Source organism: Homo sapiens, chromosome 6 (assembly GCF_000001405.40).
Source record: "Homo sapiens chromosome 6, GRCh38.p14 Primary Assembly".
Taxonomy (NCBI): domain Eukaryota; kingdom Metazoa; phylum Chordata; class Mammalia; order Primates; family Hominidae; genus Homo; species Homo sapiens.
In genome coordinates this window covers 93,389,922-93,411,847 of record NC_000006.12, presented here as the reverse complement: position 1 = coordinate 93,411,847, position 21,926 = coordinate 93,389,922, and the positions used below count along the sequence as shown (strand labels likewise).

General features: G+C 31.3%; 1 protein-coding gene across 13 annotated transcripts in view; it reads left to right on the top strand.

The window, feature by feature from the left end:
• Window positions 1-21,926, top strand: part of EPHA7 (EPH receptor A7) — a 179,540-nt gene that overhangs the window by 7,712 nt on the left and 149,902 nt on the right. For 12 of the 13 annotated variants that reach the window (NR_164810.1, NM_001376466.1, NM_001288629.2 and 9 more), the window contains exon 3: window positions 678-1,347. Coding sequence is in view for 12 of the 13 variants with exons in the window: in NM_001376466.1 (NP_001363395.1) it covers window positions 678-1,347 (670 nt within the window). In the remaining variant the exon portion in view is untranslated. Of the gene's footprint in view, window positions 1-677; window positions 2,195-21,926 lie in introns of those variants that run through there. The other variant, NM_001288630.2, reaches the window with a different exon arrangement.

Here is a 21,926-nt window from a genome sequence, read left to right as displayed (position 1 = left end):
GTCTATTGAAAGCAATTTATTTATAAAAATGAATCATACTCTTATAACTACTTATTTATAGTTATGTGGCTTTGTATGTGATATTATATATAACACTGGAATAAATAAATAGCTCTGTAAAATGTTACTTCCTTATATCTCATTTTGAAACGATTGTAAAATATTCCAAATTATAAATATCAACAGGTTGTTGAATGGTTTATTCAGAATACCGTGGGCATTTTCTTCTTCATGTTTTTAAGTACTCTGTAATCGTAAGTATGATATGGCCACTTAAAATGTCAACTGAGTTATCAAAAATTCTGCCAGGCATCCATATGTATATACTTTCACTGATAATTTAAATAATTGTGAGCTTTAGTCTATAAAAATTATAATCTCAATGGAGAACATAAACATAAGCAAACATGTAAAAAAGAAACACTAATATACTCACAGAAAGATATTAAACAAAATGAAATATTTATTGTATGTATACACAAAGCAAGCAGCATAAGTATGTTCCACCACCAGGATGAAGCAGAACCTGGAATCTTACATTCTCTGGTTTATAGTTTTGCCAGCATAGGAATCAACCTAACTTTTTCGAAGATCTGTATTTGTGAAGTACTTGCACTTTCAAAAGCAAAATGTTATTTTTTGCTGAATGACTGATGACCTTTTTTCAAATTTTACAGTGGGAAGAAATTAGTGGTTTGGATGAGAACTATACCCCGATACGAACATACCAGGTGTGCCAAGTCATGGAGCCCAACCAAAACAACTGGCTGCGGACTAACTGGATTTCCAAAGGCAATGCACAAAGGATTTTTGTAGAATTGAAATTCACCCTGAGGGATTGTAACAGTCTTCCTGGAGTACTGGGAACTTGCAAGGAAACATTTAATTTGTACTATTATGAAACAGACTATGACACTGGCAGGAATATAAGAGAAAACCTCTATGTAAAAATAGACACCATTGCTGCAGATGAAAGTTTTACCCAAGGTGACCTTGGTGAAAGAAAGATGAAGCTTAACACTGAGGTGAGAGAGATTGGACCTTTGTCCAAAAAGGGATTCTATCTTGCCTTTCAGGATGTAGGGGCTTGCATAGCTTTGGTTTCTGTCAAAGTGTACTACAAGAAGTGCTGGTCCATTATTGAGAACTTAGCTATCTTTCCAGATACAGTGACTGGTTCAGAATTTTCCTCTTTAGTCGAGGTTCGAGGGACATGTGTCAGCAGTGCAGAGGAAGAAGCGGAAAACGCCCCCAGGATGCACTGCAGTGCAGAAGGAGAATGGTTAGTGCCCATTGGAAAATGTATCTGCAAAGCAGGCTACCAGCAAAAAGGAGACACTTGTGAACGTAAGTAATGTGTCCTATTAAAACTCCACTTTGCCTTTTTAAATTTCAGTATCAGACATTTTAAACTTTAATAGTTATTTGAATACGTGAATCTGCTCTGTACCAGAAGCGCAATTCAGTAGATCTTAAACAAAGTCACCGTTGAACTTAGTGATTGCCCTACAGTAGCATCTGCACTAAGTGTATGTAATCAATATAGGTGATAATGAAATTTGTTACTAAAATTTAATGTGTCCTATGCTTAACATGGAAGTCAATAGTTGCACGTTGGGCTATGGAGTTTAGAGAGGAGTCTGGGTAGTTGGACATATAGCCTGGCAAGACTGAGGTGACATTTAACAGGATTTAATGAGATGCCATTCCTCCTGTTTTTAAACCCATATTGTCTGGGCCCTTGAGTAGCAGTAAATAGGAGGTTAAGAGGGCTGTGAATAAGAGCTCTAGTGACAGGCAGGGCATAAACGAATATATTTACAAACTTTTAGAATTATCTTATATAAATACTATAACTTTAATACAAAATTTTCAAATTTCACTTACAAAATCTCTGTGGTTACTTCTGAGAAAGGTGTGTGTTTTTTTTTTTTTTTTTTGGACTAAGTACCAAAATGACCACATTTTTGTGAAAGTGGGCCAAAGTAAAGTTTTAATTATTATAGTACACCAATTGCATGTTTTGAAACAATCATGTATGAATTAGTAAACTTTTTTCTTTGTTTTATAAAACCGTTTTTTTTCTTTCCTAGCATTATGTGGCTAAATATTTAAAACTATGTCATATGGACCTTCAAGATTGATAGATATTCTGTTTCTAGGTTTCATGAAAATAAATTATAAAGTTATGTTACTAGTGTCTCTTTTTAACTTATATAAAACATAATACATTAAAAATAACACATATATCTATATTTATTTTTACACCAGAGCCAGAAGCACAGGTTTTATACTTGGAATTCTTAGTTGAGCTAAAGGAGACTACTGATAATAATAACTATTATAACTAATTTTTCTTGATAACTTAGTATGTGCAGACATCCTCCATTTCCTTTACATACACAAGCTTATTTAATGAGGTAGGTATCATTATCATTTATGTTTTACACAATAAAAAAATAGAGGATATCAAGAGTAAATAGCTTGCTTGCAGTTACGTTAGTAATATTTGTCTGAGCTTAAATTCAAACTTGAGATATTCTGACTTTAGAGCCTAGGCAACGATATTGCCCTAGTTTTAATCACAAAGCAAGGAGAATCCTAGGAAATACTGTTTCAAGGCTCATAGTGTTTAGGTGCCTCATATACATATATAAATTGGATTACTTCCCCATAAAATTCTCATTCTAGTAGAATATTTTTAAAATTAAATAATTTTTAAAAAGTTTAGACCTGTGCTATATAGTACTGAACCCAGCAGCCACGTGTGGCTCTTTAGGTTTTGAAAAATGACTATTAAACATTGAGATGTGCTGTAAGTAAAAGTTACACACTGGATTTCAAAGCTGTACTGCAAGAAAAAAAAAAGAAAAAAAAGTAACATATGTCCTTAACAATTTTTAAATGTTGATTACATGTGGAAATAATCATATTTTAGGTATACTGGGCTAGATAGAGGATAATGTTAAAATTTCAGCTGTTTCTTTTACTCTTTTTTAGTGTGGCTAGAAATTTTAAAATTGCATTTGTGGCTCACATTGTGTTTGTATTGGATATACTTTTCAAATGGAGTAACTGAGCAAATACCTTTTTCTGTCCTATTCAAAGAGTTAAATACTTCATGTGGATGGCTGCTAAGCATGTAAAGTACCTATGGCTCTGCACTCAATTATCATCTTCACCAGAGGTGACATTGTGAAGTGAACTCTGAGCAAAACAAATGGAGATGATATAGGTTCAGGTCCCATAGACCAGTTTAGCAGTCTCCTTTTATGTCCCTGAAGGAGTCAAACCTGTCTCCTATTGTCCTGTTTCCCTTTCCCTCACTGGCAGTATTTCTAATTGAGTAGAAAATCCTGCAGTTTCCATATATGTGGAAATCAGAAACTGATGAAGATTTATCCCTGCTTGTAGGCAAAATGCTATTCCACTGGGTAAGTAGAGAAATATTCTCAGTGAACTAATCAATTCAATGAAAGGCAGCGTTCCTGTTGACAGGAGGTTAACAGTTACTTGAAAGTGATGGTGGATTCAGCAGTAACTGTTACAAAAAATTTTAGGAACATTATTGCACTTTAGCTATGAAAGGAGCAGTTTCAATATTATGCAGAACTTGATTGATATGAAAAAGGAACTTAAAACTTTTACACAATTAAAATGGGAAAAATAACGAAGTAGAAATACATATAAAAGTACACAATTAAATTTATCTGAGAAAAGATAGGAAATAACATTAAAGGCCCTGTGTTTTAAAGGTTTTAAAGAAGATTACGGGTTTTTGTGGCAGTTGTTTCACTTTGTATAATTTAACTCATTTATTTGTTAAGAAAATGTGATTTCCACATTTATTCATAAGAAAATGTGAACAGGAGCTGTTTGAGTTTTATGCTTCTAATTATAGAATTTAGTAAGAAAAGCAGTCTTAAACCACAGTAAATAGATATATTTATCATGAAAAATAAACCTCAATTTATTTCAAATGAGAAAAATCATCTCATCAAACATGGTACTGTAAAATTACTTACATTCATCAAATTTAATTGCAAGAATTGAAACATTTTACTACCAAAATTATTGTTACCTGCAAACTATACCAAGGTATTTAAAAATAAAATAAAATTACTCCACTGTCATCTTCATTAATTCTGCTTTTGAATACTTGAAATTAGGTATTAATATTATAGTAACATTTAATTAAAAATAAAAATACACGGTTAAAGGAGGCAAGATGCTGCCTTATGGTTTAATCGAAAGAATATGTGTGCGTTGTTATAAGTCAAGTAAATTGCTTATGACATAACTTTCTTAATTTTTAGCCTTGGTGATGTTGACAAAAGAATTAAATACCTTCTACTTAACCATGGAACTATGTTCATTTGCAAAAACACTTCCCTCCTTGGCATAATTCCAATGCATTGCTGCAAGAGTACTTGCCTCTGGAATCACTCCAGGCTTGCCTTTATAGTATTCTTCCTGTTTCCTTTCAATGATCCTGTTAAGAGTTTGAAAACAAATTCCAGTCCTATATTGAGGAAAACTAATGTGTTTGGGAGAGGATGCTAGTGAGTCCCTAGCCAAATGAGAGTGGTTAGCCACTTAAAGGCAAGTTTATCTGGGCACATTTTGAAGTAGCAGCCCATTGTGATGTTTGCTAGAAGACAATATGAAATATAAATAACTATAAAAAACTGATTGTAGGTTTGATGAGTTGATGTAAAAGCTTTTCTTCATGACTGAAAAAATAGCTCAATTTTGAAAACCAAATGCTTCTCAAGTCTAATATGTGGAGAACTTCTGTCCAATTCTTAAACATAGTATTTTTATGAGGACATCTCTTTATATTGATTTAAGAATTTATAATTTCATTTAGTATACTTTTATTGTCATTTTTTAAAATTTACAAGTTATGTAACAACTTTGATGCAAACTAGCCAATACATTTTCTTAGATAAAAAGTATAGTTATTTTAAAAATTGAGAGATCCTGTTATATTTTACATATGTAAATATTTCGGGAAGACTAATAAAATAAATATACTGAAGTATATTTCAATTTTTGTAACTTTTATGCAATTTTATTCGATTTAGAAAGTAGAATAGTGCTTGTCAAAGTGTGGATCTGGATATTATAACTTGGATTTGCATAGACAGTTTGCAGTTTATACTGAACAGTCACATTCATTTTCTCATTTAAACCTCACCACATCACTAAGATGTGGAAAATATTATTATTTTTCTCTTTCAACATATGAAGAAACTGAAGCTCAGAGATATTAATAAGTAACAAAATTGGATAAGAATTCAAAAATCCTGTTTACCAATTCAAGTCTTTTTTCCTCACTCCACTACTTCTCTAAAATTTGTTCTGGACTTTACCCAGTAGATTTTAGTTACTAAAAAACTAATGAAACTTTATTCTATGTAGGGTGACCATATGCCCGATATGCCTGGGATAATTGTTTTTTTTAATTAACACTGCTTCTTTTTGCTTTGAAAAATGTTTTTTTTTATTTGGATGATAATCCTACTTGTAAAAAATTCTTCTCATTTGGAAGTAAAAAATTCAAAGACATAAGATTTACATGCACATATATCAGAATATAGAAATGTGATTTACTTGCATTACTATATTGCTTAATTTAAATTTTCTGAAAGCAAATATGTAAAATTTTTCTTTCAGATGATTTCATGTAAAGGGGAATTCAAGTAATCATACACTTATAATTTTTATGAGAACTTTTCCTAATAGCAGCTTTTTAATAGTTTCTGTTAATGTTAAGAGGTCTATCATTATTTTAATAATATATAATTTATGAACATATGTATAATTTAACAAATGAAACAATACATTCAATTTTATAGCATCAGCAATATTTAAATTCTGTTTCTTGATCAAAGTTTTTGAAAACTGCCTTTATTTTCGCAGACAAGTAGCATGTAATTTGTACCATGAAATTTTCATAACAAATGAGTCTTTATATAGTATTTATAATCATTTATATATATATATATATATATATATATATATATATATACACACACACACACACACACACACACACACATATATACAGAAATATAAGAAACACCAGTGGGTTAGTAGCTCAGATGCCGGAGTCACAGTTTCAAAATGCTGGTTTCACAACTTATTAGGTGCATAAAGTAGGACAATCTCTCCAAACCTTAATTTCCTTAAGTATAAAATGGGGCTAATAGAAACCCTCATAGGGTTCTTGTCAGAATTGAATGAAGTAATGTATGTACAAATCCTAAAAATAGCATGTGGGACATAGCAAATAATCAATGAATGCTTATCATTAATAATAAAACAAGGAATTTGCTAAGTAAAGAAACCTCATGGTGATGAACAAATGAACATGTATCTCACAGGCCACAAATAGTTAAATATCCTTTAAGCAAGTAATTTCACACCTGTTAATTTATCTAAGAAGGCATTTCAATTAAAAAATATTTTACATAACCCTTTTTTTCCACCAGCAGTGTATGCAATTTTAATTATTGATAATAACCTAAATGTCCAAAGTTAAGGTGTATCACCTTGATTGAACTTACTCTATAGAATATCAATGATATTATAAAGGAATTTTGAATTTCTATTAATAATTTTGAATGAAAAACAAAAATTTGTATAAAATGACATTTAGAATTATGCAAAATATACATAGGAAAAAGAGTAGATGGTAGTCTAACAATGAATGTATCCATGTAGTGGGATTGTGGGTGATCTTTTGTTCTGTCTATAATTCAAAACATCTTGAACATTAACTTTTATTTTTGTACACTATAATTTTAAGTTCTAAGTAACCAGGTAGCTTATATAAAGACAACTTGAATTGTATCTCCAAAATATGGGTTTTTAAATTAAGTTTGTTTATGTATAAACACAGGGCTCAGGTACTATAGCAGTAGTAAGTGGCAAATATAGTTTAAATTATATAAAAGGTAGAAGATATTAATAGAAGGCATTCAATAAATACAGCTCATAGATTTTGTTCGTTTTTAGTTGTTAATAGATACCAAATCCTATTTTAAGTACTTGCATGTATTAAGTAATTTAACCTTAAAGGGAGGTGTTACTAATTTAGTCTAATAGAATGAGACTATTATTACCCAGTTTAAAAGAGAAAAAATACTCTTACCGTGAGAAGTATATGTCTCTCTCTCTCTCTCCCTCTCTCTAAACATGTGTGTATATATATATATATATGATTATATGTATACATGTATACATATATATGGTTATATATCTTATATAAGTTTGTATATATATAAATTCATGAATAAAAACAATGTAAGGAAACTGAAGCATAGTTACTTTGGGTTAAGTACTTATGATCACAGAGTGGTGAACTGCTTTTTAATCAAGCTAGTCTGGCTTCCGAATCCTTATTCCTAACCAATACCCTGGATCATGTCTTTATAGAGGAACATTTTATCTATTGCAAAGTCTTTTATGAACATAAACTTTTTTCAGAACATCTTGAAAGGTGATACAAATCTGAACATTTTCTTTCATTTATCATAATTTCGAAATATGTGTCTCTACCTTTCCTAACATCCTAAATATTTCACTTGCTTTGTCATTCTCTTTTTGATTCCAGTTTTTTCTTTAGATGGCCATCAGATTGTATTTTGTAAAACACAACATAGTATCATTATTCAGAAAGCTTCAGGCTTCTAATTACCTAGAAAAATTGTCTGTATTTTAAACTTGCATGTAAATTTCCTCATCTTCACCTTATTTTCTTTTCTAACTTTCAGTCACATTTTTATCACAGTTGAAGCCCCTGCTCCCTCTGCCTGATACTGTTCTCTCACTCTGCCTTAAGCATGCCCATAGATATTTCTACGATGTCTCATTATTTAACATTTGGCCTCAACTAAAAAGAAAAAAATTAACAATTATATATCTCACAATTTTCTATTATACTTTAATTATATGCATTCTTGAAGAGGCTTCCCTAGCTTCTTTTTCAAATTCTGATGTTGGTTACTGGCGGTACCATTCTCCTTGTTCTTAATCTATCTTGTTTTTTCCTACGTAGTTACCATATATTTTCTTATGGTCTCCCGGTTGTAGAAATTCTGCCTTTCCTTAAAATATCAATTTAAATACCACGTATACCCTGTTAGGTGATCTCTCCTTTTTCTTTTTTTTTTTTTTTTAAGAGATGAGTGTTGCCATGTTGCCCAGGTGGGAGTGCAGTGGCTATTCACAGGTGCAACCATAGTAGATCATAGCACACTACAGCCCAGCACTCCTGGGCTCAAGTGATCCTCTCTGCCTCCACCTCCCAAGTAGCTGGGACTGCAGGCATCTGCCACTATGCCTGGCTTCTCTTTTTGAGTACTTAAACTTTGCCCTTTCCCTAGGGGAATCATTGCATGCTATCTTATTTTATTCCTTGTCTTTTCCTCTTAAAGATTCTATTTTTTTAAACAGCTAAGCCTTGTGATTTTTTTTTTTTTACCTACCCGCCATGATACCTAGCAGTTTCTTACACCACCTTAGCCTTCCAATAAATATTTATGAAATTTCTTAAAGAATTACTCATAAACTATCCACTGGCAAAGCAAAGATTTTCTTTCTCTGAATTCATTTAATTCAGTGAATTTAAATTAATTTCAATGCAATTAATTGAATTTCTTGTATATGGCTAGTCTGTATGAGTAGTCTTCAACTTTGTGAGGATGGGAGTCCTTAACTACATTCCATTTTCCTCATAGCAAATAACAGGATAAAGTGCTAATAATTAGCAAACATAAACAAGACTGTCTTCTGGAGTTGAAGAATTTATTCATGTGAAGATAATATAACTGTTATCTATTGTCACATTCTCATGCTTTCTTACTGTCTTTATGTGTCTTTTCAATTTCTCCCTTTTCTTCTCTGAGGAAACAAAAGGCATTTCACCCTTGTTAGCATTATTTATGTCTTAAGAAACAGAGATCTAAGAGCCTGCTAACATTTTCTATATTAAGAAGGCCTTGAAGTGTGTTTATATTTATATTATATGGGAAAGCAACTTTTGTTATAAAATTATATTGTTTGCTTCCAAATTATATATTATAAATATTAGTTTGGATTGCAAAACAAAAAATAACAGAAAGAAACAAAACATGATAATTATCCCTAAGCTAATATTACCCTATTGTCTCTGTAAGTGGGAAATTACATAAATTCCATATTATGTCAAAACATTTTTCTCCTATTTGAGTTATACCTACACATATTACCTTTACAATTTTTTATGTCCTTCATTAAATTATTCACATTCAGAAACTCAAAATACTTGTTTTAAGACATTTTTGGATAGGTAACATACACAGATCTAGAACAAATGTCATCCCTGTGACCCAGTTCCACAGTATATTTTTCCAGGTACAACTATTGTTATTAGTTTCTTGTGTACCTTGCAAAGATAATTGCTCTTACCTTCCTTAAAAACATGGAGAAATATCATTTTGATGCTTAAAATTAGAATCATGTCACAATTTCCAATTAGAACATTGTAGGTTTTATTTGAAATTATACTTCTTTTTACCCATATTTAGTCATCTTTGTTCTCACAATGCATTTAACATGGTACTTGTTTCAGTAAATAAAGAAGGATAGAAAGAACTGATGAAAGGGGGGAGAACATAAGGAAATACGGAAGGAAATAGGAAACTAATGTGTCTGATTTAGTTTTCTGTGGTTTGTTAGTTTAGTGTGACTTCAGAGTGTTTCTAATTAACCTAGCATTGGGAAGTATATGGTCAGTCTTTTATAAATTTCTAGTGGAAGTTTAAATTGGCATCGGTTTCTGGCAGGCAGTTATAATACAAATCAATTATGCCTTAAAATTTTGCATTTGATTTGTTTTTCTGTGTAATTCATAGCTATTTTCTCTAAGATAACCACTAATCTATGAAATATTCATGATGATATTGTCTATCATTAGTTATTTTATAGAAATAATATTTTCATGGGAGAATTTTGACACAGCTATATATTTGATATTTTTCTCTATGTCCATACAAATATGATACATGAATACCAAAGGAAAGATTTCAGAAAATCTTTTTGTTTCAATTTTTCTCACATTTAAATAGCTTTAAATTACCTCATCCCCTGCAAAATATCTCACAAATTTAGTTTTATGGATGCATGTCTTCATTAGGATATTAATGTAAGTTTAATATGTGAAAAGTAGAAGGTCACATGCACATATAAGTTTTTATTTTTTAATCTGGTAGTAAAACAACTCAATTTAGAAATTAGTTCAAATTAATGAGTTATAGATGTTATTTTTTTTGTTTTCTACCCGTGTTACACACTTTGGCTAAAGTTATAGAATCTGTAGGTATATGTTACAATATTAATCTCGAATGATAGCATTTCTCAGGAAGCCAAAGTGATACATCAGCTGAAACAAATGTACATTATTTTTCTTATATTCTGTGATTTTGTTAAGAGTTATGGAAGGTTTATTATTTAATTTACTTTGTTTAGCGTCGATGAATGACATAAGAACAAAGAAACCCAGGGAAAATGCACTCTGGGATGTAATAGTTTGAAAGTTTTTTAATGGTTATATTTTTTATGGATTTTGAATTTTTTCATGTTATTTAGTCATTTAAGTTATTTACTGCTGATGATTATGTTATCTCTTGCTCCTAATGTATTAGAAAATCAGGGGGCTTTGAAAGGACACATACTGTGTTTAATATTTTGTTTCATGTGTCACCCAATTAGCACCTAGTTTAACCCCTGGCCTGTGGTGATGGTAGCCTCAGACTTACCCTGAACCCATTAACACTGAATTACAACCTTACAGAGAAAACCTAGATCTGGAGAAGAGATCACTGTGATGCTTTTATGAATAAAGCATAATATCAATCTGATACAATATTAACTACATATCATACATTTATCATTTTTAAGTTGAATGATTCAAAAATCTATTACATTAGTATAACCTAGTCTACTTTTTAAAGAAATCATTCTTGGTAGGCACAGCGGCTGATGCCTGTAATCCCAGCAGTTTGGGAGGCTAAGGTAGGAGGATTGCTTGAGGCCAGACGTTTGAGACCAGCCTGAGCAACGTAGTGAGACCCCAGCTCTGCAAAAATTGGAAAAGTTATTCAGGTGTAGTGGTGTGTGTCTGTAGTCTTAGCTACTCAGGAGGCTGAGTTGGGAGGATTACTCCAACCCAGGAGGTTGAGGTCACAGTGAGCAGTGAGTGATAATGGTACCACTGCACCCCAGCCAGGGTGACAGTTAGACCTTGTTTCTAAACAAAACAAACAAAAAAGCAGGGCAGGAATCATTCTTTCTAAAAGAGAGTTGGACCAGGAGAGGGATTAGGGGTGAATGGATAGGTGTGGAGGGATAGAACACATCTAAAAAACACTTGTATATGTGGAGTTGCTTGATAAAATAAAAGCTTATTCTGAGAAAAATAAATGAAAGATTAGTAATTCACTGTGCAATTCTATATTTCCAGTGATTTATATGTTCCCTGTTTATTTTAATAGTAGTTTACTATCATTATTTGCTAAACTAGTTCTCATATAGAAAATAATACCAAATGGCATTAGCTTACTTAATGACATTAACCTAATATATAGGTTAAATAAACCTAATGGATTTTTAAAATGTTTCATAATATCTTCTACATTTATCCCAGTAAAATAAGTGACTTGTATTATATAATGTCCCTATTTTAGTTGACATTTTCCTATAAAGTACTTTTATCCTCGAAGAGAGATGTGCGGTAGGATATGCCCCTCACCCACTCAGATATGATACACTCTTTATAACACAAAAGTTCTTTGGGCATTCTTGTACTCCTTTAGGGCATAATCTCTTTCAAGACAATTAATATTACAAATTCTTCAAGTTTGAGTGTGCCTTAAAGATCATCAAAGATAAATTAGAGGGTTTTTTTAGTCTTTTTATTTTTAAATAAATGGGACAACTAAAGTCCTCATTTATACTTCCAACAGTTCATTAATGACAGATTCAAAAGTAAGTCACATCTTACTCTTTCCAGTTTCCTTTCTCCTTTGCCAGTACACACACATAATACATATACACACACACAACCACAGATATCCAAAAGCACGCATATATAAATACACTCATATGTATGTGCACGCGCACACACACACAGAGCCAACAAGAGGGGAAAACAAAAGTCAACATAGTGGAGCAAGAAAACAAAATATCTTCTTGAATCATTTTTAGATTTCCAAATTTCTATGCATTAATTCCTTAATTTGGGAGTACTGAATAGTTAAGATTTCTTTTCTATGGAAATCTCAATTTACAATTAAAAAGAGGCTAAAAAATCCTGTAGAATATTATTGAATTATTTCACATTTTAAAAATAATAAAATAAAGCTACTTCAATAAAATCTTTAAATATTGCTTCACAGAACAACAAAGGTGTAAACAAACTTCTTTATTTTCAAGTAGATATTTAGGTTTTCTTTATCATATGGAATACTTGAAGGCTATTTATGTCTGGGAAGGGAAGAGAAAGTAAACTTCACTTTTTATATACCTCTAAGTTTCTGTGGTATTTTAGAACAAAAGAACACAAATTTTAGCAATTAATGATTAGGAAATGTGTTTTAAAATGAGAACAGTGGGCACCTCTTACGTGATCAGAAACTGAAGATTTGTGCAGGAGCAGAAGTTTTGCTGTTTTACCATGTGATTTCTGACCAGATCTCCTCTGAGAAACCTTTAAACTTTAACCTCTCTGCCCTTGCAAGGGAAAAGGGGCAATCACCCTTCTGCAATATCTGTTTCTCAAAACTGACTTTTAAAATTAACACATGTTAAGCTTAGACATTCAGGCTGTGAGCTGGAACTGGGAAAACACGTGGCTCAAGAGTTATGTTGAGACAGTGTTTTAGTTTGCAAAATAAACCTGACAGGAAATTTTAAAGTTCACTATTTAGCACATGTTCTTTACTGTGTCTAATGTTTATTCTGCACAAACATTATATACAGGAGAACTGTGTTTTTAAGAGCTGAACATAACAATTGGATCATTTCCCTCCTTTGTAAATTTTTCCAATGAGACAATTACTACTCCAAATTCAAACAGCTCTCTTGTTGATTTTCAAGATTATTTACTAGGACATCACTGTGTATGTATTCATCCTCTAATATGCCTCATCCTTCATTATAATAAAGTGTCTCTTCTTTTCAATCCCTGTTCCATCTGATTTCTTTTTTTTTTCCTTCTCCATCTTCTCTTATAGTGTTTTAGACACTGGCATTAAATGTTCATTTATCTTTGAGAAAATTCTACACTATTCCTTTAATGGAAAGATAAATAGTAATTTCAAAATAAAAATTACAAATCATACGGTATGGCACATTTTCATAATTTGAATTCTGGCCTTTTTTATAGAGCTAAGAAAATAAATCACACTTTGATCAATGCTGAAGGTTATAGTCTCTTTTGTAACATTTGGACGGTGACTTGTATAATTCCAGAATTACCACTCTCAATCAATACTGTAAAGGAACTCAGCCAAGATGTTTATAAGAGTACTTAATCAGTTAAAGTTCTTAATCTTTATTTTTTCTGAAAGCTGAAGTAGTTCTGTTATGGTGTGTTTCAATTTGAGAAAGAGAAATGGAGACCAATAACAAATAAGAATATACAAATAATATATAGAAATAGTTTTTGCTGCCAGGAAGATAGATTAAGGGTGAAGAGGTAAGAGTGAACAAGGTTAAAATACTGACACAACTTGTTCTGATCTTTAGTTTTTAAGGATTTTCTGTCATTATATACTCTGTTGCAGAGACAAAAACTATATGTTAGATCTGTAAAAGAACATACATATTCAGGAACCTGTGAATACAACTCATTTAAGCTTATATGTTACAAGCTGGGATAAAGTTGACTAGAAAAACAAAACACTGATACATACCAGAGTTCACATTAAGCACACTTTTTTATTGCAGCCACTTTCTTTTTCTTCCTTTTTTAAAAACCACTTTGTAGTGTATAATATGAAAGAAAATAACAAAACCAAGTCTGCTTTTGAATATAGGGTAATTTACACAGAAAACAATGTACATTATATTCATATAAACCTAAAGGGCACGGTTATTATTCATTAATGTTAATAGATAACTGAGTATCGCTTGCCAGTCAGACTGGAATCCAATGGAATGTTGACATCGATTGATGGACATACGCATGAGAATATTCGTAGGTAGACTGCTTAGGTCAGTTGAACACATAACACTATCCTGGACCCATCTTTGGGGGTGATAAATCTTGCTATTTTTCTTTATTCTTAAAAAACATTGCATATTCTTCAGAATTCATATAATTAAGATTAATTTAGAGTTTTAGGACCATATTTATCAATTAAGAGTAATGATTTATTTGATTTAAAGAAAAACTGGGTTCCTGGTGCTTCTGGCTCCCATATTGGAAGAAGAATTTTGATTTTGTTTACTCTGTTTTATAGAAAGAAAATTCTAAGTAAAAATTGATAATTACTTTTCATATACATATTTGAAATTATTGGAACTTTTCTTGAAAAACTATTTACTTGAGAGAATAAAAATTGAGCATCATGGATGCACAGCCTATATGACATTAAAAATAGAAGGAAACTGTGTTCTTACAAGTGTTGGTATTGTATTTTTTTAATGGGCTTCTCCACCTTAGTAAGTATACTTATTTTAATGATTGCGGTTAATGATACATCTAGAACAAAGCTTTTGGCTGAAGAAATTTTCATTGATAGTTATTTTCAACTATAATTTGATAATGTTCTCAATTTTAATGAAAACAGTAACACTAAAAATAATATTCAGAATATTCAGAATATTTTAATTAAGCTCATTAATAGATTCTATTTCAGAATCATATAATATATTATCATATATTTTTCTCTACAGTCTAACAAAAGGGTTAACATGGTTAGAATTAGTAATTCTTCATTTTTAGTGAATTTATTTTTAATTTCCCCATTTGTACTGGGGATTGTCATATTTATATTTATGTTGCATACATTTATTGGCTAACTCTGAAGTTCCAGATGTGCAAATATATTGTTATATTTTGTATGGAATAATTTTGATAGCTATATATTGTAGTACTTTAGAGCTGAGTTACAACTGCATGTTTCATAATAGTCATTTTTCCTAAAATGTGTTACATGTAAATCTATTCGTAAAAACATTTTATCATTTTAGCATATGCGTTTTTGAAAAGTGGAATTTGGGGTTATGTAATCTCTTTAACATTCAAGTATCAATAACAAATCTCGAACATATTAAAAGAGCTCACAGTCAGGATCTCAAGCAGCATGTAATTTATTATATCGTTATAGCATCTTTGTTAGGTATTAAATATTTTTATATGCTTTTAGTCAGGGTAGGATCTATATCACAGCTTCAGCCACTAGTAAAAAGCAAAATATATTTCTGAAAATTATGTAGAATTTTTTTCAGGTATGTACATTTTAAAATATGGTTGTCAGTAACAGTTTATATAAAATGACTAGAAAAGTACATTTTTTCTACCTACTGAATAGTTCTGTATAATTATTGTTTACACATTAGTCATCAAAATGGCATGAGATTTTGATTTTTCACCTAGAAATATGCTGTGAGATTATCCAAGGTTAATTTCGACAGATAAATGACATGTCACTTTCATTAAAATGACATTGGGAAACTGAGATAAATAGTTTAGCATTTTCTGTGCTGACATGATGTTTGCCTGTCTGATTGCATCCTTTCCAATAGACAGCAGAGACACAATTACAAAAAAAGACATCTGTGCCAAGGTTTAGCTAGCCAAAAAGGGCATGCTCTTGTATTTAAAAAGGTAGAGAATCCAATCGATGAAAACGTCTGGACCTGTTAGCACCAATAAAACTGAAGGCCACTGGGAAGCTCAGAGAGGGTCTTTGTTGTAGAGATAGAAAGAGACCCAAACTATGACACTTTCAGAGGAGAAGGGTCAGCAAGGAGGATCATCCATCTTCTTCAGTGGCAGCTTTCTGTCAGATTCTAACCCTATTTAGTGGAGGAACTAAGCCTCTTCTGTTGACACCAACCGATTCTCAGCCAAGTGTAAATGAAGCTAATATTCACTGACCTTATGCATAGCAAATGAAGCCCTATGTGTCATTTGAGAAATAATGTTATCTGACACTTCAAAAAGTGAGTGACGGACAGATGTGTGTGTGTGTGTGTGTGTGTGTGTGTGTGTGTGTGAAATAAGTAAAGATATATCCTTATCCACTTTATATTTTTAGTTGACTTTCACAATAACCACAGTTTTACCATTTTGACAGAAATTTAAGTTTGTATTATTTTTGTTTACATGTCATGACATTTTACATGCAGAGCTTGACTGTGCTGCAGAACAAGCTCGTTTGGCTTTCTTCTGTCTCTAAATGCAGTGCCTAGTTACAGAAAGAGAAGATTCAGTTTCTACTAATAAAAGCTGTAAATTTCCAAGACAATTCTGAATTACTAGTTCACACTCAAAACATAATGAAGGAATATATACATCTTTCACATTATTAAAACATGTATTGGTCTTGTTAGAGATCAAGTCAAAAAGGCTTTTTTAAAAACCATTTTTAAAGCATTGTCTAAAATCTTTTCTTTTTAGTTAGTAATTCTGTTAAAATCTAATAATCTTTCTTAGTCTTTAAATCAAGATTTTCATGTTTTGCTTACTAAGGATTATATTTTAAATTGCATATTATGCATTTCTTGTTTGGAAGGATTTTCCATAGTACTGTAAAAAAAATTCTCACAAAAAATAAAGTTTAAAATATGCCAGTAATAAGAAAAATGCTGTACATAAAAAATATTAAGTATTTGCTGTATTTTGTAAGTAAAATATTAATATTAGCAGAAATGAAAAATAGTGATAAAAATTAAATAATTTTAAAGAATGTATGGAATTTAAGGATTTGGGGAAAAGATAGGTTAAAGCATAGCACTGGATTTTCTGAGTTTCACGGAAGGTAATTATCTGACACGGTAGATTTCCTGAGAATCACCAGGACAGATCTGCATCTAATTGACATCAATCATGTTTGAACTGAAAATAAACAGTTGTAAAATTTTTGGAATCTGTGGATTGATTTTTGTTCACCTCATCAGTCTTGTTTATTTGTACTTATTAAAGAAGTGAACTTGCTTTTTGTTCTACCAAACTTAAAAAGACAGCATCTCATCAGTAAGATATTCTCTTCTTAGTTCTTTTTTGACAAGTATCTAAAATCAGATGAGATCTTACATAGTTTCCTCCTGGCATTGTTCCTGAACCTAATCATACAGACACTAAACATGTGTTTAGTCAGTTCTTCTTATTTTCCTCCCACATTTTTGTTAATCTAAGCACCTTTCTAAGTAAAATGGTGCTCAAAGACCACAGAGAAATTATCTGTGTTGATAGTAACTTCGCTGAGTTCTGACTTTTCTCTCTCTCTCATCAATTGTTTATCCTCAGTAGGATTTAGTTATGATATATATATATAAAAGGTGCGTATTTGAGTTGTAGCTTTGTTTATAAAAGATATGCAATATCTGCACATACAGCTACTAAATTCAGCCAATGAAGCCATTATTTTTGAAGTAGTACGATAACAAAGAATAACTTGAGAAGTTTTGTTATTGTTAGTAGTTGTAATGGTGGTTGTGGTGGTGGATTAAATTGAGCTAATTTTCAAATCTTTAGAATTGCAATAGTTTGTCTAAAAAGTCAAGATAAATCCGATGGACACAATTACATGCAAACACATACACTCAGAAATGACAGGAGCCTCTTATTATGGAGATAATTTGTATAAGTGATCTACACAGTCTAGTTTAACTCTACTCGTAAAAATTTATGAAAAAGCTGTCTGGAGTACAGATACAATTTGCTGTGCATTTTTTACATTAATTTGTGATGGACTTTTTTTTCAGAAACCTCATTCAAAGAGTTTCCATAAAAGAGGGGAAAAATATGATTTGGCTAAAAGGCAGTGGATTTGGCTTCATGGAATCACTGGTTAATGGATTTAGCCAGGTGTTCGAATCTAAATTGAAAGGGCCAATTGTACTTTATGATCTGCAGAAGTCATATTAGATTAGTAACACTGAGGTTTAGAAAGCAAAGTGGCATTTCATGCTGCTGTCAAGTAAGTTTCTACCCCTTTGCCCTGGGAGCTTAGAGATTTCAGTCTAGTTCAGTCCTAGCCCAATATAGGGTTTTAAAAAATATGTTAATCAGTGTATTTGGAATCATAAAGTCTTCTGTTAACTTTCTAAAATTATTCTTTACTGAATCATTTGAACCAGTGATATCATCTCACTGGACCTCTTAGTTTAATCTGAGAGGCGTTTTTTTTGGATGGAAACTTCTAAGACTAAAAGGGTACTAAATATATTTCATATACTAATTTAACAATCATTGATTGAACTACATCACTCAAGATTATTTAGGTACTGTATTTACATATGATACTGATTTATATTTCAGATATTTATTAGCCAAACAATTCCTAAAGTCACTAGGATTCTAGGTTCTGGAAAGCTATCATAGCTGAGGGCTATGGTTTGAGAAAAAGATGCCAATAGAGGGTTATTAAAGATGCCTAAACAATTCACATCACTTCGACATGAATTGTAATTTGTTAAAACAGGTCTTAAAAAGAGTTTCAGAAATCCTTAAATGCAGTCAGACTGTAGAATTGAAGCACCCTTATTCAAAGTTGATTGCAATTACAGCCACATATGATTATTTAATGAAATGAGATTTTTTTCTTAAACTAGTATTAGTTTCATGATCCTGTGAAAAGTAAGGTATTACTATAATTAATTTAATAAATAAGTTTATGTAATTGTTATTCCTAATAAAGAATTTCTGTTTCTATTCATTTTCAAAGAAATATTGAAAAATATTTAAGAAAATTGATTGTTGATTTCATATTTTATGTTTTTGTAAAGTCCTTGTCTGAAAAATATATCAAAATAGACATTATGCATATTGCTTTTAAATAATAAATGGTGTTTTATTATGTAATGGATAGGTTTGACATGCATACATTTTGCAATATGAAATAAATTATTTTGCATTTAAGCCATTAAAATCAACCTATTCTTTGGTGGCAATTTGCTATGCTGTGTTAAAGAATGCAAAATGTTATTTTGTATCTTTAAGGAATTACTTGTAGAAAAATAAGGTAAATGGATAGTATGCACTTTTAAATGCATTTTATTTTTTTCTGTTTAAAAATGTATTTAAAAATTTGATAAGATTTTTGTCATATAATCAGTTAGAGAATCATCAGGTGAATAGTGACATCTGTAACTGAGAGCCATGGAATTTGCTGTTTTTTTCTTTTGTGTCGATCTGGAGGGAAAAATAAATCAGTAGTTCCTATACCTGGTTTGACATTTCCCACCTTTTCCTATTGAGGCAGCCAGGCGAAAGCAGTCAGGACAACTGAAAAGGTAACCATCCCTTTGAGGGCATGGTTGATTTTGCTCCTGATTCTTACTGTGCTATAGGGGTCAAGGATATCTGGAAAGGCTTGACCTGTGTTTCCTGTCAGGAAAAGTGGGTGATTTTCACTTTCTACGCCTGCAGATCTCTGGAGTTACGTGTACATTGGAGTTTACTCTTCACTGCTTTGTCAGCATAGCTGTGGCTTTCTTCAGCAGTTGTGAAAGAATCCTGAGATGGAAGGAATTGGGTGTAAAAATTGCGTTATTCTGTAGAGCAGGAGAATGTACTGTATAATTTTTTACAAATTTAGATTGTGCCATATGATTTAAAAAATTTAGATTATTCCATTTTATTTAAGGAAATTGAGTCTAACGCTGTCTGATATGCTCCAAAGAATTAACACTATAATGAGTCAAAAACCAACTACAACTCAGAGTTTATATTTTTAGTTTTTTTTTTAATCTCATAAACCGTGAAGAGTTTAATTTTTATTCTATTTTTAGGTAATTGGAAGGTAAATTCGGAAGCAATAGGTTAGAAAGTGGAGTATTTTTTTTCTGTTGCCTGTGTCTTTTAGCTAGGTAACTAATTAACCAGCTTCCCCTTCCTCTGTTTCTCCCTCTCATCCTTCCACCTTTCTGTCTGTCATTTGTATTCATAAATATAATAGAGAGAGTTCATAAACCTATAGATATATTCATAAATATATAGATAATTTTCTCAGGTCAAGAAGTTCTGTAGTAAATCCTTTTCTTAACTGTAACTTTTCTTTGTGACTGGAGGAATAGTTTTTTAGTTTTGCCATGTTCAGGCTCCTTGCCTTGGTCCTTCTCTGTCCTTTTCTATGGAAGCATCAACGTCCACATGAGAAGAGGTTATGTTCATATACAAGAACAATTTGTTCTTGGTAATACCATATAATTATGTTTCAAAATTTGAATATTGGGAAGTATTTTCCAGTTTTCTTTTCCTCTCTTGCCAGTTGTCTCTTTTGGTTTGTTTCTTAGATGGTGATACCATATTAGTAGTTTCTCAAGTAAAGATGCCACAGAAGTTTCCATTTCCACTTTTATTCCTATAATGACCTCTCTTGCTCCAAGGTGTAGTTCCATCTTTCAGAACCTCCATGAATCTCTGGAGAGGTAGCACCTGCTAGAAAATTCTGAAGGGATTGTACTTTTCAGAGTACACTTATAACAAGGCTACAGGGATTATTAGACTAGATTTAAATACTTGTTGACAATTTAAATTATTACCAAAATTTAATGCATTTTAATGAGGGAAAATGATTAAACTGATGGGAATGTAATATATTGGGGGATTAGGAATTCTGCAGTGCTTCATGGAGAGTAGATCAAACACAACAAAAATATTGGCATTAACGAGAATTCAGTACTAAAAAGACTGTTGGGAAAAATGTTTGGAATTAAAACCAATTCAATTTAGTTCAATCAACATTTCTTGAGTGCTTTTTGTTTACAGATTAACTATGATAAATTTTGGAGAGAGAGATAAACCTGCATGAGTTTGTAGGTTGCCAAAAATACTTAAAACTAATAATGTTAACAATCCAGCAATGCATTTTCAACTCCATTTGAGAAATTAAATTTTGTTTTATTTATTTCCTTTAAAAATGCCAAAGTAACAGGAAAATAGAATAGTATAATGAACACCCTTATGGTCTTCAGACACTCTAATTGTTACAATTTTTCTACATTTATATCCCCACTCCCCCCAGCCCTGTATGTGTATAAACTTTTTTTTTTTTTTTGTCCTGGCTGAACCATTTGAAAGTAAGTTACAGGCATCATGACAGTCAATGCCTAAAGACTCTAGCATATGTTCTCAAAATGAAGATGTTCTCTTACATAAACACAATGCCATATTTAAAATCCAGGAAATTTAATATTTATTTTAAAATTTATCTTAATGTGTAGTTTCTATGTAGTTAATATGCCAGTTTCTGACCTACTTCAAATTGCCTTTTTTATGGCTGATTTTTTTCAATTCATGATTCAGTTAAGTATTTCATATTTGTTTTGTTGACATAATTTTTTTCTTTTCTTGTAATTTGAAACTTTCATTCACCTTTTTTTTTTACTGTACTGATTTTTTTTTTGAGAATCCAGACCAGTTACCTTTTAGAATATTCCACATTGTAGATTTTCTTATTTCTTTAAATGTTAGATTCAAGTTGAATTTTGGGGGCAGGGATACAATATAGTTGATGTGGTTTACTTTCCATTGAGTGACAGCATGCTGCTTTGTCTCCTTATTTCTGATGCTAAAGTTTAGTGATTTTGTTAAACCAGAACCCTGTATTATAAATTTACAAATTTCAGTGATACTTGGGGACACAGAAATTTTCCAATTCACTGACAATCTTTTACAAACTGCTTTATCATTAAGATGTCAACTG